The 21,099-nt window shown below is 44.8% G+C and overlaps 9 protein-coding genes and 1 further gene across 13 annotated transcripts in view, besides 1 other annotated feature; all 10 read right to left on the bottom strand.

Moving 5' to 3' along the window:
- Window positions 1-6,389, bottom strand: part of PCDHGA6 (protocadherin gamma subfamily A, 6) — a 139,085-nt gene extending 132,696 nt beyond the window's left edge. The window contains exon 1 of one of the 2 annotated variants that reach the window (NM_018919.3): window positions 3,773-6,389. In NM_018919.3, coding sequence (NP_061742.1) covers window positions 3,773-6,196 — 2,424 coding nt within the window. In that variant the 5' untranslated portion in view covers window positions 6,197-6,389. Of the gene's footprint in view, window positions 1-634 lie in introns of those variants that run through there. The other variant, NM_032086.2, reaches the window with a different exon arrangement.
- The window catches only part of PCDHGB3 (protocadherin gamma subfamily B, 3), a 142,734-nt gene extending 132,696 nt beyond the window's left edge, over window positions 1-10,038 (bottom strand). Inside the window, exon 1 of one of the 2 annotated variants that reach the window (NM_018924.5) lies at window positions 7,471-10,038. In NM_018924.5, coding sequence (NP_061747.2) covers window positions 7,471-9,885 — 2,415 coding nt within the window. In that variant the 5' untranslated portion in view covers window positions 9,886-10,038. Of the gene's footprint in view, window positions 1-7,440 lie in introns of those variants that run through there. The other variant, NM_032097.3, reaches the window with a different exon arrangement.
- The window catches only part of PCDHGA5 (protocadherin gamma subfamily A, 5), a 148,814-nt gene extending 132,696 nt beyond the window's left edge, over window positions 1-16,118 (bottom strand). The window contains exon 1 of one of the 2 annotated variants that reach the window (NM_018918.3): window positions 13,529-16,118. In NM_018918.3, coding sequence (NP_061741.1) covers window positions 13,529-15,949 — 2,421 coding nt within the window. In that variant the 5' untranslated portion in view covers window positions 15,950-16,118. Of the gene's footprint in view, window positions 1-12,496 lie in introns of those variants that run through there. The other variant, NM_032054.2, reaches the window with a different exon arrangement.
- PCDHGB2 (protocadherin gamma subfamily B, 2) overlaps window positions 1-20,286 on the bottom strand; it is a 152,982-nt gene extending 132,696 nt beyond the window's left edge. The window contains exon 1 of one of the 2 annotated variants that reach the window (NM_018923.3): window positions 17,724-20,286. In NM_018923.3, coding sequence (NP_061746.1) covers window positions 17,724-20,144 — 2,421 coding nt within the window. In that variant the 5' untranslated portion in view covers window positions 20,145-20,286. Of the gene's footprint in view, window positions 1-17,708 lie in introns of those variants that run through there. The other variant, NM_032096.1, reaches the window with a different exon arrangement.
- PCDHGA1 (protocadherin gamma subfamily A, 1) overlaps window positions 1-21,099 on the bottom strand; it is a 182,462-nt gene that overhangs the window by 132,696 nt on the left and 28,667 nt on the right. The gene's annotated exons all lie outside the window — the stretch shown is intronic.
- The window catches only part of PCDHG@ (protocadherin gamma cluster), a 182,295-nt gene that overhangs the window by 132,700 nt on the left and 28,496 nt on the right, over window positions 1-21,099 (bottom strand).
- PCDHGA2 (protocadherin gamma subfamily A, 2) overlaps window positions 1-21,099 on the bottom strand; it is a 174,216-nt gene that overhangs the window by 132,696 nt on the left and 20,421 nt on the right. The gene's annotated exons all lie outside the window — the stretch shown is intronic.
- PCDHGA3 (protocadherin gamma subfamily A, 3) overlaps window positions 1-21,099 on the bottom strand; it is a 169,147-nt gene that overhangs the window by 132,696 nt on the left and 15,352 nt on the right. The gene's annotated exons all lie outside the window — the stretch shown is intronic.
- Window positions 1-21,099, bottom strand: part of PCDHGB1 (protocadherin gamma subfamily B, 1) — a 162,877-nt gene that overhangs the window by 132,696 nt on the left and 9,082 nt on the right. The window lies entirely within an intron of this gene.
- Window positions 1-21,099, bottom strand: part of PCDHGA4 (protocadherin gamma subfamily A, 4) — a 157,955-nt gene that overhangs the window by 132,696 nt on the left and 4,160 nt on the right. The gene's annotated exons all lie outside the window — the stretch shown is intronic.
- Window positions 13,901-14,079: a silencer, noted in NCBI's record as "fragment chr5:140745768-140745946 (GRCh37/hg19 assembly coordinates)". NCBI's record gives its function as "represses an EF-1alpha promoter that drives an FKBP-Casp9 reporter gene in an ReSE screen in phorbol 12-myristate 13-acetate-treated (for megakaryocytic differentiation) K562 erythroleukemia cells {active_cell/tissue: K562(+PMA)}" and the evidence as "EXISTENCE:reporter gene assay evidence [ECO:0000049][PMID:32094911]".

The raw sequence follows: 21,099 nt of genomic DNA, 5'->3' as shown, positions 1-21,099 counted from the left end.
TTTCTCCTCTGAGATTTTACTCCTTCCCCTTTGACAATTGCCACCTCAACAGAAGCCTGATCAGAAATGAATGCCTTTCAGGCCGGGCTCAGTGGCTCATGCCTGTAATCCCAGCCCTTTGAGAGGCTGAGGCGGGTGGATCACTTAAGGTCAGGAGTTTGAGACCAGCCTGGCCATCATGGTAAAACCCCATCTCTACTAAAAGTATGAAAATTAGCTAGGCATGGTGGCATGCACCTGTAATCCCAGCTACTTGGGAGGCTGAGGCAGGAGAATCGCTTGAACCCAGGAGGAGGAAGTTGCAGTGAGCAGAGATCACACCACTGCATTCCAGCCTGGGAGACAGAGCAAGACTCTGACAAAAAAAAAAAAAAAAAAAAAAAAAAAAAAGAGGCTTTCACAGACCATAAAATAAGAATAAGACAATAATTTGGTAGTTTTTTTTCCTGATGCTTCAAAATTCTATACTGAACTCTCAAAACCTCAGATAGCCTATCTTATTATTAATGATCTGTATTGCAGGTGGATTAAAGAACCTCATTTAGCCATAACTTAGCAAATTCCATGACTGCCAGGATGTTTAACAGTTGGTCAGTCCACATGAGTGAATGACTTTTGTGAGAGTAGAAGTTGGTAGTTTTTCCATCAGAGAAATATTTTATTTGTTTAAATGAAATGGTCACAGGTAATAAGAGAATAAAATAAACCAGCCTGATCTCCATGAAAAGTAGTTAGTGAGCTTTCCCTATAACAACAAATGCTCAAGATGTAGTTTAACATCCCAAATTGGTAGTATAGTAAAATAACATTCACACTTTCAGAGTTTATGAAATAATCATATGTATAACAGCCCATCTAACTCATGAGACTAATATCCAAGATTCAAGTTGTTTAAAATTGTTATTTTATCAAATTATATCACAAAGATACAAGAAAATGAGCTTTGAAGATGTGTATGATTAGATCTCTTGTTTAGGTATATACCTTTGGAAACTTGAAATAAATAAATCTATAACAATTCCTTAAATGTAAATACCACAATATTGGTTCAGAAAAACACATATTACTCTTAGCAGCTTATTTAAAAACACATCAACTCAATGTTATCTTTAAGAAGACTGACAAAGTCAGGTTACAAAGGAGGTTCTCATTTATTTTCAAGGTATCTTCTCAATTGCTTTTTTCTTACACATTCATAACAAATTCAGATGCACAAGTGGCCAATCCATTCTATAATACCACCAGATTGTAGAATCTTCCAACTCATGACTGGAGAAAAATCTTGACTATAATGTAGTTCAACAAGTCATCAAATTAGAGAATCCCCTGTACTCCATTCATTCCAGGGCCATCAACTTACTTTTGAAGACTGTCGATAACAGAATCTCCTATCTCCTTAGTGATCCATTTTCTATTCGAACATCATTGACAGTCAAAAACTCTGCTGTTTTCTGTTCATGAAACAATGATTCTGTTTGCACATTTCAGTCATAATAAATAAGACTAATCAGTCTTCTAAATGATAATCCCTTTTTTCTTGAAATATTTCAATAAAGAGTTCCTATATGATGAAAGCCTTATTGTCTGGGTTAAAATGCTAAAATATTTAAATTTTTATTTGAACCTCATTAACATTTGTTCTCCCATTCACCAGTCAGTCATCTATTTTTAGAGATATGTCCTGTAAGCAGACACTACCGAGCATGTTTTAAAATTCATGTTCACTCTTTATTTATTAATTATCATTATTATTTTTTGAGACAGAGTCTCGCTCTGTCACCCAGACTGGAGTGCAGTGGCACGATCTTGGCTCACTGCAACCTCTGCCTCATGGGTTCAAGCGATTCTCCTGCCTCAGCCTCCCGAGTAGCTGCGATTACAGGCCCATGCCACCCCACCTGGCTAATTTTTGTATTTTTAGTAGAGACGGGGTTTCACCATGTTGGTCAGGCTGGTCTCGAACTCCTGACTTCGTGAGATGCCTGCCTTGGCCTCCCAAAGTGTTGGGATTACAGGCATGAGCCACCGCACCCGGCCATTTTCACTCTTAAATACTATCAGGCACACAGTATGCAAAAGACACTGTAGTAGGCACACAGCATCGGTGCTTAGTTATTGTTAACAACCCAATAATTATAATAATGGTGATGTCAACAAATACGTGTTCACTATGCTGCTTTAGAGTTTGAAAAAAAGTTATAAAATTATTTTCTTAGAATTTGAGTCAGATAGATAAGGAAAGTCTTGTTTTAAAAAATAATATAAGTAGAGCTTATTTGAGCCAAGCTTTAGGATTGCAACCCAGGAACATAGATTCAAGTTGCCCTGGATACACACTCTATAAGCAGCAGTTACAGGTGGATTTTTACTCCAGACTGGGCAACAGAGGGGGATCCTATCTCTGATAAGAGAAGTCTTTTAAATCTTAATTTTAATTGGAAGATAATGGCGATTGTAACTGGCCCAAGTAAATAACAGATAGTTACAGGAATGTTATTCAGGTCTTTTAACACCAAAGATCTGGTGTCCCCTGCTGCAGTTACCAATGATTCTTATCTTTTCAAAAATAATTTTTGATTCCTAAGTAGTAAAGGTGAAAGATCTCTTGTATGAACGTCTGTCGTTTATAGTTATCAAGTAACACTGAGAAAAAACAAAATCTTTTTTTTTTTTTGAGAGAGAGAGAGAAAAAGTCTCATTCTGTCTCCCAGGCTAGGGTGCAGTGACACAATTATATCTCACTGCAGCCTCATACCCCTGGACTTAAGCAATCCTCCTATCAGAGCTTCTCGAGTAGCTGGGACTACAGGTGTACGCCACACATCTGGCTACTTTTTTTTCTTTTTGGTAGAGACAGAGTCACCCAGGCTGGTCTCAAACTCCTGGTCTCAAGGGATCCTCCTGCCTCAGCCTCCTGAAGAGGTGGGATTACAGGCGTGAACCACCATGCTAGCTAAAACCAAGATCTTGATCTTTAACACTGACCTAAATTAAGGTTATTTTTTTTCCCACATTAGAAAAAGAAAGAACCTTACAAATGTCACATAGTAGGAAAAAACCTAAGAAACGAGATGTACTCAATCCAAGACACAAATAGTTTGCCAAGAAGAGAAAGGTAAAGAAAAACTAGGACATGCATTATTTTCCCCCACAAAATTAAGACTTCAGAACATTCTTTTGATATAAAAGAAAAACATTAGAATTATGTGACTCTCTGCAAAGGGCTAAGAAAACTAAGCACTAATCAAAGACAATCTTGAATTTTCCTGTCAACCAATAAAAACGATACCCTCGGCCGGGCGCGGTGGCTCACGCCTGTAATCCCAGCACTTTGGGAGGCCGAGGCGGGTGGATCATGAGGTCAGGAGATCGAGACCATCCTGGCTAACAAGGTGAAACCCCGTCTCTACTAAAAATACAAAAAAATTAGCCGGGCGCGGTGGCGGGCGCCTGTAGTCCCAGCTACTAGGGAGGCTGAGGCAGGAGAATGGCGTGAACCCGGGAAGCGGAGCTTGCAGTGAGCCGAGATTGCGCCACTGCAGTCCGCAGTCCGGCCTGGGCGACAGAGCGAGACTCCGTCTCAAAAAAAAAAAAAAAAAAAAACGATACCCTCACCTGAACAAGGGAGTCTTCCACTTTACAAAATCACGAATCTTCCTGTACCAAAAGAGGTTCGCTTCTATAACAGCCGATCTAGCTGATGAGCCTGTCTGATTAGTTGGGTTGCGGGAAGATCAGATTACTCTTCCCGCTTAGGCGGAAAGAAACTCACCTGAAGTTGCCTGGGTTCTCCTTTCGTTTCAAGTAAATCCTGAGTTATCAGAAGAGGCTCGCTTTTCTCATAGCTCTCCTGGTTGATAAGCGTGTCGGCATAGTTGGGCTGGGGGAAAATCAGATGACTCTTACGCGAGTCTGCAGTGAGTGAGACCTCGTGGGAATAGGTCTGCAGGAAAGCCCGAACCCCTTCCACGCCCACAAAGTGCGAGCCGGGCATGCTCGCTAAGCCACCTCCCGAAGCCTGCAGCAGGCGTGACTTGTGCCAGCGCTGCAGTCTGAGCGCCAGCAGCACGATGACGAAGGCCAGGAAGACGCAGGAGACCGCGGCCACCGCCACCACCAGGTACAGAGTGAGGTCCGAATCGTTGGGTTTGGCGGAGGGCTCGAGGCTGCCCAGGTCGGCCAGGATGTCGGGGATCCTGTCGGCCACGGCCACGGTGAGCGTGACAGTGGCGGAGAGAGGGGGCTGGCCGTGGTCCTGGACGGCCACCACTAGGCTCTGCTTGAGCGCGTCTCTGTCCAGCAGGGCGCGCGCCGTGCGCACCTCGCCCGTGTGCAGGCCCACTGAGAAAAGTCCTGGCTCGCTGGCCTTGAGCAGGCGGTAGGACAGCCAGGCGTTCTGGCCCGAGTCTCTGTCCACCGCCACCACCTTGGTCACCAGGTAGCCGGGCTCTGCGGAGCGGGGCGCCAGCTCCACGCCAGTGGAACCGTCTGTGGGGAGGGCGGGGTACAGGATCTCGGGCGCATTGTCATTCTGGTCCAGCACAAACAGGCTCAGTGACACGTTGCTGCTAAGAGGCGGGTCCCCGCTGTCGCTGGCTGTCACCCACAGCTGTAGGTCTCTCAACTGCTCATAGTCGAAGGAGCGCAGGGCGTACAGAATCCCAGTGTCGGAGTTGATGGACACGTAGGAGGACAGGGGCGCCCCCTGGAGGGTGTCTTCTGCCAGTGAGTAGGAGACTTGGGCGTTCTGGTCCACGTCAGGGTCCAGTGCATTCACAGAGAAGATGGAGGCACCCCTGGGGTTGTTTTCAAGGACATAGACTGAGTAGGATGAATGGGGGAAGGTGGGCGGGTTGTCGTTGGTGTCTGCCACATTTAGAGAGATGATTGTTTCTGTAGACAGAGGTGGTGTTCCTTTGTCCGTGGCTGTCACAGTGATGTTGTACAAGAATACCTCTTCCCGGTCTAGAGCTGCATTTGTCACTAATCGATAATAATTGCCAACTGATTTTTCCAATTCAAATGGGAGACTTCTCGGGATGGAACAGGTTACCAGGCCATTCAGGCCAGAGTCTCGATCGAACACTTGAAAAAGGGCGATTACTGTTCCTGGAGGTGCACTTTCAGCAATTGTTCTGCTTCCAGATGTAACAACCACTTCTGGTACATTATCATTGACATCCAAGATAGTTATTAAGACTTTCGCTCTGTCTCGAAGACCTGGCCCATCCCGGGCTTCAACACCCAGCTCATAAAAACTCGAGTCCTCATAGTCTAGATTTGCAGAAGTTGAAATTTCTCCAGTCAAAACATTCAAACAGAAAATTTGTGAGATCTTTTCTGTAATCTTCACAAAGGAATAAGTTACTTCCCCGTGGACTCCTTCATCCTGGTCGGTGGCAGTCACTGCCAACACTGGTGTGCCTACTGGCAGGTTTTCAGGAACACTTACACGGTAGACAGGCTGAGTAAACATTGGAGTGTTGTCATTCACATCTAGAACTGTTACCAGAATTTGGGCGACGCTTGAGCGGACAGGGTCGCCGCCATCCATGGCAGTAAGGACCAGGCGGTAAACGGCTTCTCCTTCCCGGTCCAGTGTGCCCTCCAGCACCAGCTCCGGGTACTTGGGCCCATGGGCTTCGCTTTGCACGTCCACTGAGAAGTGACTATTACCACTGAGCTTAAATCCCTGAAGGGAGTTCATTCCCACATCAGGGTCATAGACCTCCATTAGTGGAAAACGAGAGGATGGAGCTGCGTTTTCGAGAATTTTCACTTCCAATTCTTCCTTTAAGAATCGGGGTGTATTGTCATTAATGTCCACTATTTCCACTTCCACGGGATAAAGATTCAGTTTATCCTCGACAAGGATGTTAAAACTCACCAGACACCGCGGGCTCTGAGCACAGAGCTCCTCGCGGTCTATCCTACCCGCGGTGACCAAGCTGCCGTTTCGCGGATTCAGAGAGAAAAGCTGCATCCTACCTCTGGAGACGATGCGGACTCCGTGCTCCGCCAACTCCTGGGGCTCCAGTCCCAGATCCTTGACGATGTTGCCTACGAAGGAGCCTTTCTCCAGCTCCTCGGGAATAGAGTAGCGGATCTGCGCTGCCGCGGCCCCCCACAGCGTCCCCAGGAGCGTGAGGAGCAGGACCTGCTCGCTGCGCTGCGGATGCCTCTGCGGAGGCGCCATTACTGGCTTATTAGGAACTTCTCTGGGATTAAGAAGAGGAAGAACAGATCTGCATCACTTTTGCTCTTCTCAGAAATAGCGGTGAAGGTCCTTCAACAAGCAGAGACCGGATGCGAAGCGTTTCAGGTCAGAATTTCTGCACAGCTTTCCTGCTTTCCCGTCTAATTTGCTTTGTTGTTGGAGGATGTAACTTGAGTTTCCGTTGATTTTCTTGCCCAGGTTGGTCAACAGCGACGCTTAGAGTCCTAACTTAATACTGCATCGTTTTGTGAAACTATCACACAGAGGATTTTATTTCTGCTAAATCTGCAGAGATGACACTCATAATATTTCCCTCCCCAAGATAATGAAGCATTTAGAAGAGTGTAAGAGATTATTTTGAATAATTTTAAATGTTCTCTGAAGTTTACCATTCATTTTTATGAAAATATCTCTTAGGACCTTGGGGAACAGAAATAATATTACAATCTTCTGTAAATTTTGAATTATCATCACATTTCACCACCATTTATGCTAGTCCCATTTTCAGTAAGGGTACCAACAACCACAAACACTTTTTTGGAGACAAAGTCTCGCTCTGTCTCCCAGGCTAGAGTGCAGGGGCACAATTATAGCTCATTGCAGCTGCTACCTCCTGGGATCAAGGGATCCTCCCACCTCAGCCTCCCGAGTAGCTGGGACTACAGGCATATGCTACACAAACACATTTTGAACCAATTCATTACAGTGCCCATTACAAGAGTTGCCATTTTAGATGCCATTATTTCTTTTGATTAGCATAGAAGTTAAAAACTGCCCTGACATAGGCAACATCTGTGTATACTTTTAAAAACATGCAAAGGGAAGTAAAAATATTATATACAGGTTACATTAAAAATGTGTTAAGATATACATAATGTTTCATATATTTTAGGATTGACTGCATTAAAACTAAGTAAACCACTTAATTGTGAGGATTTGGGTCTAATTCTGGATAGATATGTCTGAAAATGACAGTGTGAGATAATACTGTATTAAAAATGTTTCAGATTATAGTGTATTAGGATTAAGAAAAGTTTCAAGACTATCAAAAGGAGGCTTTCTATGAAAGAACAACTGCAACACAGATATTCTACAGGAAATTCTACAAAGAATTTCCTAGACACCCTACTCTACACCAGAAAATCAATAAAATAATGTAATCAGGGAATATTTAATCTGTATTCTTTTTATCTCTAAATCAATGAATTGAAACCCAATTATATTTATGGAAGGAAAGGTTTGAAGAAACTCACCTTTTGCAAATTGCCTGAATTAGAAGGCATTTCTGGATTGTCATTACTTTCAAACCAAGAGGCTTCATCACATAGAAGATCTTGTGGTGCAGCATTTTCAGCCTTTATATTGAGAAATTTAAACTCGGTGTTTGAGGAATGTGAGGCAGCACACGGATTGTAGGAATAAGGCAAAGTCCTTTCGCTGTAGGTGGGGAGAACTCCAGGTACAGTCTTGAAGCAGACACCAGGCTGAAAGTAGCCCTCAGTGGCGGGTCTGGAGGAGCATCGCAGGCGCAGGGAGATTGCCAGAATCACCGCGAGGAGGAAGAGCACTGAGATCAAGGCCAACGCCACTACTAGGTGAAACTGTAGCTCCGCCTGAGGGTCAGAGGGAGTGGGGCGGTCGCTAAGGTCAGGTTGTATCTCTTGCAAGCTATCTGCGAAGATTAGGTGCAGCATGACGGTGGCTGAAAGAGGCTGCTGTCCTCCATCACGCACAGTGACCAGCAGGCGCTGGCGGGCGGCCTCCCTGTCGCCCAAGGTACGCGCCGTGCGCACCTCACCCGTGCGCAGGCCCAGGCTGAACAGCCCGGGCTCGCTGGCCTGCACAATGTGGTAGGACAGCCAGGCGTTGTATCCCGAGTCTGCGTCCACCGCCACCACCTTGGTCACCAGGTAGCCAGGCTCTGCAGAGCGCGGCACCATATCGAAGAGCGCAGAGCCTTCGGGCCCCAGAGCTGGGTACAGCACCAGCGGTGCATTGTCGTTGCGGTCGTCCACCAACACGCGCAGGCTCACGTTGGCGCTGAGCGTAGGCGAGCCCTGGTCGCGGGCCTGCAGAGTGAGCTCGAAGGCACGCAGCTGCTCGTGGTCGAAGGCTCGCTGCGCGAACACCACCCCGCTCCGCGCGCTCACGGACACGTAGGACGACAGCTCCCGCGGCTCCAGGTCACTGGCCACGATGTAGTAGGAGACAAGGCCATTAGGTCCCAAGTCGGGATCCGAGGCTCTGACATGCGCAATGGAGGCTCCAGGCGGATTGTTCTCAGCTACATGCACGGTGTAGGAGGCCTGGTGGAAAACGGGAACGTTGTCGTTGACATCAAGGATGTGCAGAGTGATGGTCTTGCTGGAGGAGAGCGGTGGATTGCCTTTGTCGGTAGCTGTGATCGTCACATTGTATTCTGGGATCTGCTCCCGGTCCAGGGCTCCATCTGTCACCAACCTGTATGTGTTTTTGGTATCTTGAACGATTTTAAAGGGGAAGTTTCCTTTTAGTTGGCATAGGATTTCTCCATTAAATCCAGAATCTAGATCATGTGTTTTGATCAGGGCAACGGCAGTCCCCAGCTCAGCATCTTCTTGTATATGTTGGGATTCAGAAGCCAGGGTTATCTCCGGGGCATTGTCATTTTCATCTGAAATATCTATCTGTACTTTACAATATGCAGTGTGATGTCCACCATCCTTTGCTTCCACCCCAATTGTGTAGCTATCTCTCTCTTCAAAGTCCAGTTCTCCAATAGTGGTGAGTTCCCCCGTTTTACTGTCCAGCTTGAACAGTTGTCTCACTTCCTTGCCAATATTGATGAAGGCATAGATGATTTCGGCATTGATGCCCTCATCCATGTCAATGGCCATCACTTTTAATACGGAGGAGCCAGCGGGCAGGTTCTCTGCAACATTGACCCTGTACATGTCCTGAGTAAATACTGGGGGGTTATCATTTGCATCTGCGACAATTACCCTGATCTGGGTGGTACAGCTTCTGGAGGGCTCGCCCCCATCCACAGCTGTGAGGACCAGGTGGTGATGTGGCTGCTCTTCCCTGTCCAGGGGTGCTTTCAGTACTAGCTCTGGGTACCTACTGCCATCCAGGTTCTCCTTCTGAATCAAAGAGAAGTGCGGATCAGGGCTGAGGTAGTACTGCTGCAGCGAATTGACACCTACATCAGGATCTTGCGCAGATTCCAGGGCAAATGTGGCTCCAGTGAGAGCCAGTTCGCTGATTTCCAGCTCAGTGATATTTTGGCTAAAGGTCGGTGGGTTGTCGTTAATATCCTGGATCAGCACAGTTACATGAAAAAAGTTTAAAGGCTTTTCAGCAACCATTTCAAATTCCAGAACACACGTCGACTTCTTGCCACAAATCTCCTCTCGGTCTATACGGTCGCTCACAAGTAAGTTCCCATTTTCGGGGCTCACGGTAAAGAATTTCTTCTCTGCAATAACCCGCAGGTTCCTAGTAGGTAAATCCCCCACGCCAAACCCCAGGTCCTTGGCGAGGTTCCCTACCAGCGAGCCCCTGTCCAGCTCCTCGGGAATAGCGTAGCGGATCGGTTCGGAGAGAGCCTGGTCTAACAAAGAGAGCAGGAAGAGAAATAGCATTCGCCTCTGCCCTGCTGGGCCCCTCCATCCGGAGCTATTTCCCATCCCGCTCTCTGCGCCTTTGCCTTTCTAAATCCGAGGAGAGGAGATCTTTAAATAATCCCAAGAGTTCTCCGAGCAGGACCAACTATTTGCTTTGTCTTTGTGCTTGGGTTCTCTAATGGGTGTCTCCGCTGCAGGAAGCCTGATAGAGAGTGCACTTTTCTTCCGAGCTGGCTGCAGCGGGAGGAGCCAATATTTTGCACAGCACTAGCCAAGAGCGGCACCCGGCGCCTCTGCTGCAGAACTGCAGTAATGGTGACTAAATCAGCTCCAAATAAGGAGCTAGTTAGGAGAAAAATCGGCAGTGTACTGATAGTGATACTTTCTTCCCATTTTAAAAGGACTTTTAAAAAACATTAAATATACTTACTATATCTTTAGTCTGTTATTTCTTTTAATTTGAGCTTTATCCATCCAAATCAAGTACCTTTTACTTGTCAAAGGGCAGAGATAATCTTGCTCAATCCCGTCACGTTTTTAGTTTCCATTTTCATAAAATGGTCATAATAATATCTTCTCTGCTTACTCTAGTAGAAATGAGGGCCAAATAAAATAATACATAGAAAATCATACAAATGGAAGCTATTTTTGGTGATGGCAGAAGACGTAGTATAAAGAGGCTTGAAATATCAGCTTCACGTGTATTCTTATTGCATTCTATTTCCTTTACTTCTAACTTCTAAAAGTTATAATGTCATAGCTTTTAGTTTTATTCTATGTTTCACTTTCTTCTCTTTTATCTTTATTATCTCCCCCCAAAAGAAGTTAAAGGTAATGAGGAAATGATTGACCTTATAAAATAGAAGTATAGTAAAAAGCAAGAGGGTCTCTTTTCCTTTGTTTCCAAGTGTCTACTTTTAATTAAATAAGTATGATTGAAAACTTTTTTTTTCTATAGAGGTGGGGTTTCACTATGTTGCCCAGGCTGGGCTAGAACACCTGGCTTTAAGCAATCCTCCCACCTCAGCGTCCCAAATTGCTGGGATTATAGTCATGAACCACCCTGGCCCAAATGAAAAACTTTTACAAAGGATGTTTTTTCATACTACATCACAATTGTCCTGAAATGTACTGTTTCTTCTCAAGTAGCCTAACAATGATGCGTTATTAGGATTGGGGAGTGAATTGTAAGTCCTTATAATTATATTATTTAATTATATAAGTAATCTTCCTGTCCACTTTTCCTTGGTCCCCAGTTTACCATCTGATAATCCTAACTTTTTGTTATTTACACTTTTCCCTGGTCAATAACATGCCATTTTCCATGTTTCTGACAGGTGTCTTACAGTTTTAATTCCATTTTCAAACCAGAAAATCTTCCTAAAGAAATTATCTTTAGCCTACATAATGTATTGTTACTCTAAAACTAGGCAAGTGTGCAGCAATAAGCAATGAGTTCCACACCGAATTCACCTTATAGTGGAAAAGCATTATAGCATCTTAAACTACTCACAGTAACCAGAATTCTAGACAGACACTCATTGTCACCTTTATACAAACATCAAAAATATAACTGACTCAAGACTTTGCTCCAAAACATTCCAAAGCAAGTGCCTTCCAACACAATGCCAAGTGTTCATTGTATGAACACTTCAATTAGTATGAAAAATTATTCTTCAGAACACATATAAAACTAAAGATTCAGATATTTAAAAGTATATGGTATATACAGTACATACATTCAAAATGTATGGATCAAGCATTTTATAGTCTGTTAGTAGTTTATAGAGGGTTTAAAGATATTTTTCCATTGCACAAAACATTTAACTCAGAAGAAATGTACCCAAATCTATAACCTTTACTTTTTTCCCAAACACCTTACCCTAAGAAGCATATAACATTTTCTTTTAAAAAAAATGGAAAAGCAAGTTTTCACATAGGAGTGAATAATGTCGACACCTACTGTATAGATTCTCTTGTTACTCTTTGGATGCATTCACTATTCGGTGAGTTTGTACATTTTACATTTTGGTCAGAATGTCCATGTGTGTATGTATGTGTGTTTGTGTGTGTGTATGTGTGTATATATATGTGTGTATATATATGTGTGTGTATATGTATATAGATATAGATATACTTGAATGCTCTTTAACAGTGTTTAAAAAATAAAAATCAAGTGGTCTTAGGTTCTTTAATGTGTCAATTAACCTTTCATGTGGTTGAGTAATGTAGCTTACTATCCCATTTGTAATATTTTATTACCTTTTCCCCTTATTTAGTCATTATTTGAAGCTGATGCTCAAGGTTTTAAAAGTACAAAATTTGAAGGATTAAGAATATTTTAATAAGAAACATCTGAAAATCATCTTCAGCAAATCAGATGCAGAAGGGAAATATAGTAGTTCTTTCATTACATAACACATCCTCCTGGAATTTGAGGCACATAGGCCAGTATTTCATTAAGACAAATCTATTAATTTAAGATGAGCACATACGTTAGATATGAAATTTAAAATTTTGAACCATCTTTAAGTTGAGTTCTTTTTTTTTCAAATACAACCTTAAACTCAAGTAATAAAGAAGAATTGCACCTACACTTAAAGAAACGCTAACATTGCAGTAGGTATTGATTCTAATAAGTAAAGGGTTTATCTATAACAGAAGATGCCAGGTGTGTGACATATTTACATTTATTGAGTGCAGCAGTATGTAACTCTCTGGAGGCTTTACATCACAGAACGAAGCCCAACCTTAAGGTTCCTTTACACTGATTTCTTCTCTCAACAAGCCCACATATCCAATAACTACATGGCTTAACACAAACTTTCCAGACTTTAGAATGCTACATGTTATCATTAATATAAATTTTATCTACTTTTCTGATATTTATTTATTTATTTATTTATTTATTTATTTATTTTGAGACGGAGTCTCGTTCTGTCTCCCAGGCTGGAGTGCAGTGGCGCGATCTCGGCTTACTGCAAGCTCCTCCTCCCGGGTTCACCCCATTCTCCTGCCTCAGCCTTCCGAGTAGCTGGGACTACAGGCGCCTGCCACCACGCCCGGCTAATTTTTTGTATTTTTAGTAGAACAGGGTTTCACCGTGTTAGCCAGGATGGTCTCGATCTCCTGACCTCGTGATCCGCCCACCTCAGCCTCCCAAAGTGCTGGGATTACAGGCGTCAGCCACCGCACCCGGCCTCTTTTCTGATATTTATGACCCAGAAGTTCTCTGTACCTTTCCACTGATTTATGTAAATACTGTAAATTATTTCCTTAAACAAATTTCAGGTAGACTAAAATATCAGTCCTATACATTATCCTTTCCAAAACACATTCACTAATGGTGTCTAGGCAGACACTCAAAAGAGAACAATATATCTAACAATTTGAATAAATAAAACATCTTTTCTATTAATAGAACTGCAGTTCCAATATAACAAAATATTTGGGTAAAATGATTATATTTAACCACTTTCCTTTAAGGTATTTGTTTCACTTAAGTCTACAGATATCAGCTAGACTTCCCAAAACAGAATTTGAAAACAAATGGAGAAAGCATGAATTATATAAAAAAAATTAATCTCCAATACAGCAAATAATGTTCCACTATTTACATAACTAGCTGATTCTGAATATGACAGAAACATGAAAAAGGAAACAAATGAAAATGTTCTGGTCATCCTTACCGAAAGAGAAAACTAACCTGAACTCGCCGTTCTTCTTTGTTTGCATCTACCTTATCAGACATCAGAAGAGGCTCGCTTTTCTCACAGCTCTCTTCACTAAGGAGCGTGTCTGCGTAGTTGGGCTGGGGAAAGATCAGGTGACTCTTCCTCGAGTCCGCGGTGAGGGAGACCTCGTGGGAATAGGTCTGCAGGAAAGCCCGAACCCCATCCACGCCCACAAAGTGCGAGGCGGGCACACCCGCCAACCTGCTGCCTTCAGCCTGAAGCAGGCGTGACTTGTGCCAGCGCCTCAGTCTGAGCACCAGCAGCACGATGACGAAGGCCAGGAAGACGCAGGAGACTGCAGCCACTGCCACCACAAGATAGAGTGTGAGGTCCAGATCCTCAGGGTCAATGGGGGTCTTGATACTGCCTAGGTCAGCCAGGATGTCAGGGATCCTGTCGGCCACGGCAACGGTGACCGTGAAGGTGGCTGACAGAGGGGGCTGGCCATGGTCTTCGACGGCCACCACGAGGCTCTGCTTGAGCGCGTCTCTGTCCAGCAGGGCTCGCGCTGTGCGCACCTCGCCCGTGTGCAGCCCAACCGCAAAGAGTCCTGGCTCGCTGGCCTTAAGCAGGCGGTAGGACAGCCAGGCGTTCTGGCCTGAATCTTTGTCCACCGCTACCACCTTGGTCACCAGGTAGCCAGGTTCTGCGGAGCGAGGCGCCAGCTCCACGCCCGTGGAACCGTCTGTGGGGAGGGCGGGGTACAGGATCTCAGGCGTATTGTCGTTCTGGTCCAGCACAAACAGGCTCAGCGACACGTTGCTGCTAAGTGGAGGGTTCCCACTGTCGCTGGCTGTCACCCACAACTGTAGGTCTCTCAACTGCTCATAGTCGAAGGATCTCAGAGCATACAGGACACCGGTGTCAGAGTTAATGGATACATAGGAGGACAAGGGCGCCCCCTGAAATGTGTCTTCAGCCAGGGAGTAGGTGACTCGAGCGTTGTCGCCGCTGTCGGGGTCATGGGCTGTCACAGAGAAGATAGAGACACCTCTGGGATTGTTTTCTGTGACAGAGGTGGAGTAGGAGGCTTGAGGGAAATTGGGTGGGTTGTCATTAACGTCTGCTACTTTCAAGGGGATGTGGCTTTCTGTAGAGAGGGGCGGGGTTCCATGGTCCATGACGGTTAAAGTGATATTATAATCTGAAGTCTCTTCTCTGTCCAGGTCCCTAGTTGTTAATAGGTGATAGTAATTATCAACTGACTTCTCCAATTTAAAAGGCAAATTCCTAGGAATAGAGCATGCAATCTCACCATTTTCTCCAGAATCACCATCATGTACGCTAAACAGCGCGATTACAGTTCCGGGAAGACAGTCTTCAGAGATCGAACTGGTCAGAGAGGTGAGGATCACTTCGGGGGCATTGTCATTCACGTCCTGTACTGTGACCACCACCTTAGCGCTGGCAACAAGAGCGCCTCCATCCTGAGCTACCACTTCCATGAGGTAGAATCTGGATTCTTCATAGTCCAGTGATTGTAGAGTTGAGATTTCCCCCAGGTTGGAATCAAGTTGGAAAGTCTCCGAAATTTTTTCTTCTTCATTGCGAAAAGAGTAGGTCAATTTCCCGTTTATTCCCTCATCTGGATCCGTGGCGGTTAGCATGAGCAGCCGAGTGCCCACAGGTATGTTCTCTGGAACACTCACGCTGTACTCGGATGGGGTGAACAGGGGCGCATTGTCGTTTGCGTCGAGGACCGTAACACGGATGTGCGTGGTGCCGGAGAGTACCGGGTCTCCGCCATCTAAAGCTGTGAGGAGGAGGTCGTGAACAGTCTCTTTCTCGCGGTCTAGGGGCTGTTCCAACACCAGCTCCGGATACTTTTGTCCATCAGTTCCGCTTACCACATCCAGAGAGAAGTGCAGATTGGAGCTGAGCTGGTAACTCCGGAGAGAGTTCACACCCACATCCGCATCCCGCGCGAAGGGAAGCACTAACCGTGTCCCTGCAGCCGCATTTTCATTAACTTTTACTTTTAACTCTTCATCCCGGAAACGCGGGAAGTTATCATTAATATCGATTATTTCTACTTCTACTCCATAAATTTTCATTTTGTTCTCAACCAAGATGTTAAAGTTCACCACACACAGTGGGCTCTGAGCGCAGAGCTCCTCCCGGTCTATCCTGCCCGCGGTGACCAAGCTGCCGCTTCGCGGGTTCAGGGCAAAAAGCTGCGTCCTACCTCTGGAGACGATGCGGACTCCGCGCTCCGCCAGCTCCTGGGGCTCCAGCCCAAGGTCCTTGGCTATGTTGCCGACGAAGGAGCCTTTGTCCAGCTCCTCCGGCATCGAGTAGCGGATCTGCCCGGATCCTGGCTCGCACAGCGTCCCCAGGAGCATGAAGGGCAGCAGCAGCTCTCCGCAGCCCCAGCCCCTAGGTGGACTCGCCATTGCCTTCTCTCTGCCCAATTTTCTCTTAGTTCTGGTTCAGCCTGCTGTTTCCTTATTTATCTAAAGCCGATGGGTACATATTCCCTGACGAAAATGGGCGTGGAGCGTTGGCTTTTCGTAGGAGCTTGTCTGGTCTGTGTGTTTAGTATGGAGGGAGCAGAGTCGGGTCGCCTCTGCGGCAGCTTCTTTCCCACTTTGGTCAACAGCGACACTCAGAGTCCTAACCAGTGACTGCATCAAATTCCATTTTTATTTCTCCTAAGTTTAGTTATAATTTTATTTCTAATAATGTTGCCATATCCTTAATGTTTAACTGTGTAGCGTTGTTTATGACCGTTAATTCAGCTTTAATTCTGAATAGCAAGACTTCCACAATCCCTGAGATCAATATGATTATTAGATCTCAATACCTTACAAAAATTTTATTTAATGCGTCATCGGGGGAGCCTATGTCCTTTATTTACCTCTTATCTATATTTAGTCCATTAAATTAGGACATTCAAATTCTTACCTTTGTAGGATTCAAGATTTCATCTCCTTATTAGGATAAATTTAGGAAAACGTGCTTATTTGCATATAAGAATACCAAGGAAACAAACCCAGTTCTCCATGCACCTTTCCAAACAGGCCTACTGATTTATGTAAGTTATATTAGCTGTCATATGCAGAAGAAATAAAGATCTTTGTTACTTGTGAGGACTTTGAGAAAGTCTCTCCACTATCTCAGACAGCGTTTGAGTTGGGTTAACTATGCATTTTTATGTTTTTCTATTACCATGTTCAAATATTTGTAGTTCCAGTGACAACCAGTATAGTAACTGTGGAGGATGGGGTTTTATTTCATCATCCATGCAGGAAAGCATGAGCAGATACTTGTCGAGAAGTACTGAGTGACCTTTCTATGTTGAGACAGATATTTACTGCTATCATCTTTATATGACAACAGAAATAGAAAAACCTCTTGATTGAAAAAAATGGACATTTCAGAAAGTCATTTTATTTAATAACACTTTCATAGAAAACTAAGAAAATAAAAATTCTATATAATTAGGAAATTCAAAAGCAAAGTTTTAAGTAATATTTTGTAGAAAATGATGTGAACATAGGTTGTAAGATTTTTCTCAATGTGTAGTTTTTCTTAAGAGCAATTTGTTAAAATGCATGTTAGAGAATGATTTCTCACATTTGTTAAATGCACTCTTTCTAGCAGACACCTCAGACCTCAAACATTGCCTGTCCTTTAGAAATACATTTGTGATTCCAAGACATTTAGCTTACTGAGTGTTGGTCTTCAAGTCAATGGGACAATGTCCTACCCATGCCCTGTGATTAACAAGCCATGCCATTATGCAAAAGTCTTTCTTCTTTGTTTCCCAATTTCCAAAGCCTACTAAAATGAAGACTCTCTTTACTCTGAAGTATTATGATTCTAAGAGGAAGTAAAACTAAAATTTGAATAACAAAGAGCCTGAAGGTGAAACTAATTGCCTAAAGTCTCAATAGCAACAAATCTGCAGAGAGAAGTAATGTAAAGATGAGGAAGAAAAAGAAATACAGTGCAATATCTCATGTGATAAAGGTTTGCAATCATGGGTAAATAAATCTCACACTTCAGAGAGAAAACACTTAAAATTCAGTTAGATAAGATTAAGACAATTAAGGCACAACATTGGCCAAATCTAACTCACAGACAAAGAAATACGCAGTGGAACTTCCTACCCAAATTAGGTGAAACAATAAAACCAGAAGTGAAAATAAATTAATTAAAGCTCACCTTCAAAATAGTATCTGAGGCAAAAGGGACCCCAGCGGCTCCATGATTTGTATTTTGTTCCCAAGAGGCATTGTCACAGACGAGATCTTGCGCGGGAACCAATTCCGGGGTTATGTTCAGAAAATTGAACTCTGTCTTGGCTGATTGTGAGGCAACACACAGGTTGTAGGAATAGGGCAATGTACCCTCACTGTAATTGGGGAGAACCCCAGGTCCAGGCTTGGAGCTGAGACCAGGCTGAAAACAGTCCCAAGCATCTGACCTGGAAGAGAGTCGCAGGCGCAGGGAGATTGCCAGAATCACCGCGAGGAAGAAGAGCACTGAGATCAAGGCCAAGGCCACAACCAGGTAAAACTGCAGTTTTGCCTGGGGGTCAGAGGGCTCCCGGCGGTCGCTGAGGTCTGGCAATACCTCTTGCAGGCTATCCGCGAAGATTAGGTGCAGCGTGGCCGTAGCGGAGAGTGGCGGCTGTCCTCCATCACGCACAGCGACCAGCAGGCGCTGGCGGGCCGCGTCCCTGTCGCCCAAGGCACGCGCTGTGCGCACCTCACCCGTGCGCAACCCCAGGCTGAAGAGCCCGGGCTCGCTGGCCTGCAGCACGTGGTAGGACAGCCAAGCGTTGTGTCCTGAGTCTGCGTCCACCGCCACCACCTTGGTCACCAGGTAGCCGGGCTCTGCGGCGCGTGGCACCATATCGAAGAGGGCGGAGCCATCAGGCCCCAGCGCGGGGTACAGCACCCGTGGCGCATTGTCATTGAGGTCGCCCACTAACACGCGCAGGCTCACGTTGGCGCTGAGCGCGGGCGAGCCCTGGTCGCGGGCCTGCAGTGTGAGCTCGAAGGCGCGCAGCTGCTCATGATCGAAGGCGCGCTGCGCGAACACCACCCCGCTCTGCGCGCTCACGGACACGTAGGATAAAATCTCCCGCGGCTTCAGGTCGCTCGCTACGATGGAGTAGGAAACTTGGCCACTGGGGCCCAAGTCAGGGTCAGAGGCACTGATTTGAGCGATAGAGGCGCCAGGAGGATTGTTCTCTGCCACGTGAACCATGTAGGAAGTCTGTTGGAAAACTGGGGCATTATCGTTGACGTCGGAGATGTGCAGGGTGACAATTATGCTGGAGGAGAGGGGCGGCTTGCCCCCGTCGGTGGCTGTGATGGTGAGATTGTATTCTGGGATCTCCTCCCGGTCCAGAGCGCCGTCTGTCACTAGTTTGTAATAGTTCTTTGAGGAAGATTTCAAAATAAACTTGGCATTTCCCAACACTTGGCAGTAAACTTCTCCATTTTCTCCAGAGTCTCTGTCTCTCGTTTTTATCAAGGCGATCACTGTTCCTGGTGGCGAATCCTCCGGTAGGGGAGTAGATACTGAAGTCACAATAACTTCAGGTGCACAATCGTTGTCATCAAGAATTTCAACTTGGATACTGCAGTGGGCTGCTAGATCTCCAGGATCTTTTGCTTCGATACTCAGAGTGTAACTACTTGCAATCTCAAAATCCAAATCATCCTTTGTCGTGATTTCTCCTGTTTTTTCATTTAAGTTGAAAAAGTGTTTCACTTGTTCGTCCACATTATGAAAGGAGTAGGTGATCTCTGCGTTTATGCCTTCATCCCGGTCGGTGGCTGTCACTTGAAGCACAAAGAAGCCCGGCGGCACGTCCTCCCTCAGGGTGACCCTGTACACGTCCTGGCTGAACACTGGAGGGTTATCGTTGGCATCCGTGACTTTGATTCGGATTTGGGTCGTGCCACTTTGAGGTGGGTCTCCGCCATCCACAGCTGTGAGGACCAATTGATGTAAACTGTGCTCTTCTCTGTCCAGAGAGTGTTTTAGAATCAACTCAGGATATTTACGACCATCTGGAGTCTGTTTCTCAGCGAGATCAAAGTACTCGTTGTCATTAAGGTGGTATCTTTGTAGTGAGTTAGGACCAACATCTGAATCCAGGGCTGGGTCAAGTGGAAATGTTGTACCTGGCTTAGTGGATTCGCCAATTTTTAAATTAATCTTAGTCTGTTTGAATAGCGGGGTATTATCATTTATATCCTGCACAATTACTGCTATGTAGAAAATATTTAGTGGATTTTCAGCGACAGTATCGAAATCCAGAACACACAGAGGCTGCTTCCCGCATATCTGTTCTCGGTCTATTCTGTCACTCACAAGTAAGTCTCCGCTTTCTGGGTTTACTGTGAAATATTCCTTCTCCGCGCTAACCCGCAGCTTCCGGGCTGGCAAGTCCCGGACGCTGAGCCCCAGATCCTTGGCGAGGTTTCCTACGACCGAGTTTTTGGCCAGCTCCTCTGGAATTGAATAGCGGATCTGGACTGGGAGAGCCCCGGGGAACAAAGACAACAGGAAGGGCAACAGTACCTGCAGCCACCGCACCAGCCCGCACCTCCCTGAGCTCGCTTTCATCTTCTGGCTCCCTTTGCTCCTTTGCCCATAGGAGGAATAAGCCTTCCGGGGATGGCAGAATCCGGGCTAAGGTCACTTTTCCTGCTTTTGTTTTCTGTTTCCGAATCTATACTGGCCTTCTCTGTGTGGTTGGTTTGTGCAGGAAGTTCCCCTCTAAGAGGCTCCCAAACGCTTCTCTTCGTTCTTTTGACCAACAGCGACGCTCAGAGGTTTTCTCAGGAAACTGCACTAATGGCTTGTCAATATTTGCTAAGAACTTTTTTCTTTTCTTTTCTTTTTTAATTTATAAAGTCTTCATTTGTTTTAAAATATGTGAAATATTCATATAGTTCCAAATTCAAAAGATGCATTCAGCATAGGTTCTTCCTTTCATCTCTGCTTTAGATGAGGAGAAATGCTTTCACAGGGGAAATGAGTGTTAAAGTTTCTTAGGTATCCTTCCGGAGATATGTCTTGTATAGGGCAACGGATTTTTATAAATATTCTGTCTCCTTCTTTACACAAATGTAAGCATACAACATACCATATTCTGCACATTGCTTTTTTAGTTGTTATATCTTAAAGATCATATCAGTACATAGAGAGCTTTCCTATTTATTTCTTATAGTTATCTAGTGGCCCATAATATAGTTATCTAGTAGTCCGTAATATGAATATACAACAATTTGTTTAATCAAAATTGTTATTTGCTAAAAGAAACCCACTGCCCATTCTAACAAAAACACATTTTTTAAAAAATTTGATTTTAGGTTATAAATTATCTACTGCTTTCCTAGGCCTTTAAAACATGTGGCACTCTCATTCTGGAATATATTCCTAATGCCAACACCTGAATATGCTTGACACAGTTTCAGACCAATTGAGCATTTCCAAATTATATTTTATGGCTTAATTACTTTAAACAATCTCTCCTCAGATGTAAGTTGTCTCTCAACATTCACTTGTTATTTCTGCT

This window comes from Homo sapiens, chromosome 5, assembly GCF_000001405.40.
Source record: "Homo sapiens chromosome 5, GRCh38.p14 Primary Assembly".
In the NCBI taxonomy this organism is placed as follows: Eukaryota; Metazoa; Chordata; class Mammalia; order Primates; family Hominidae; genus Homo; species Homo sapiens.
This window is presented reverse-complemented; position numbering and strand designations above follow the sequence as displayed.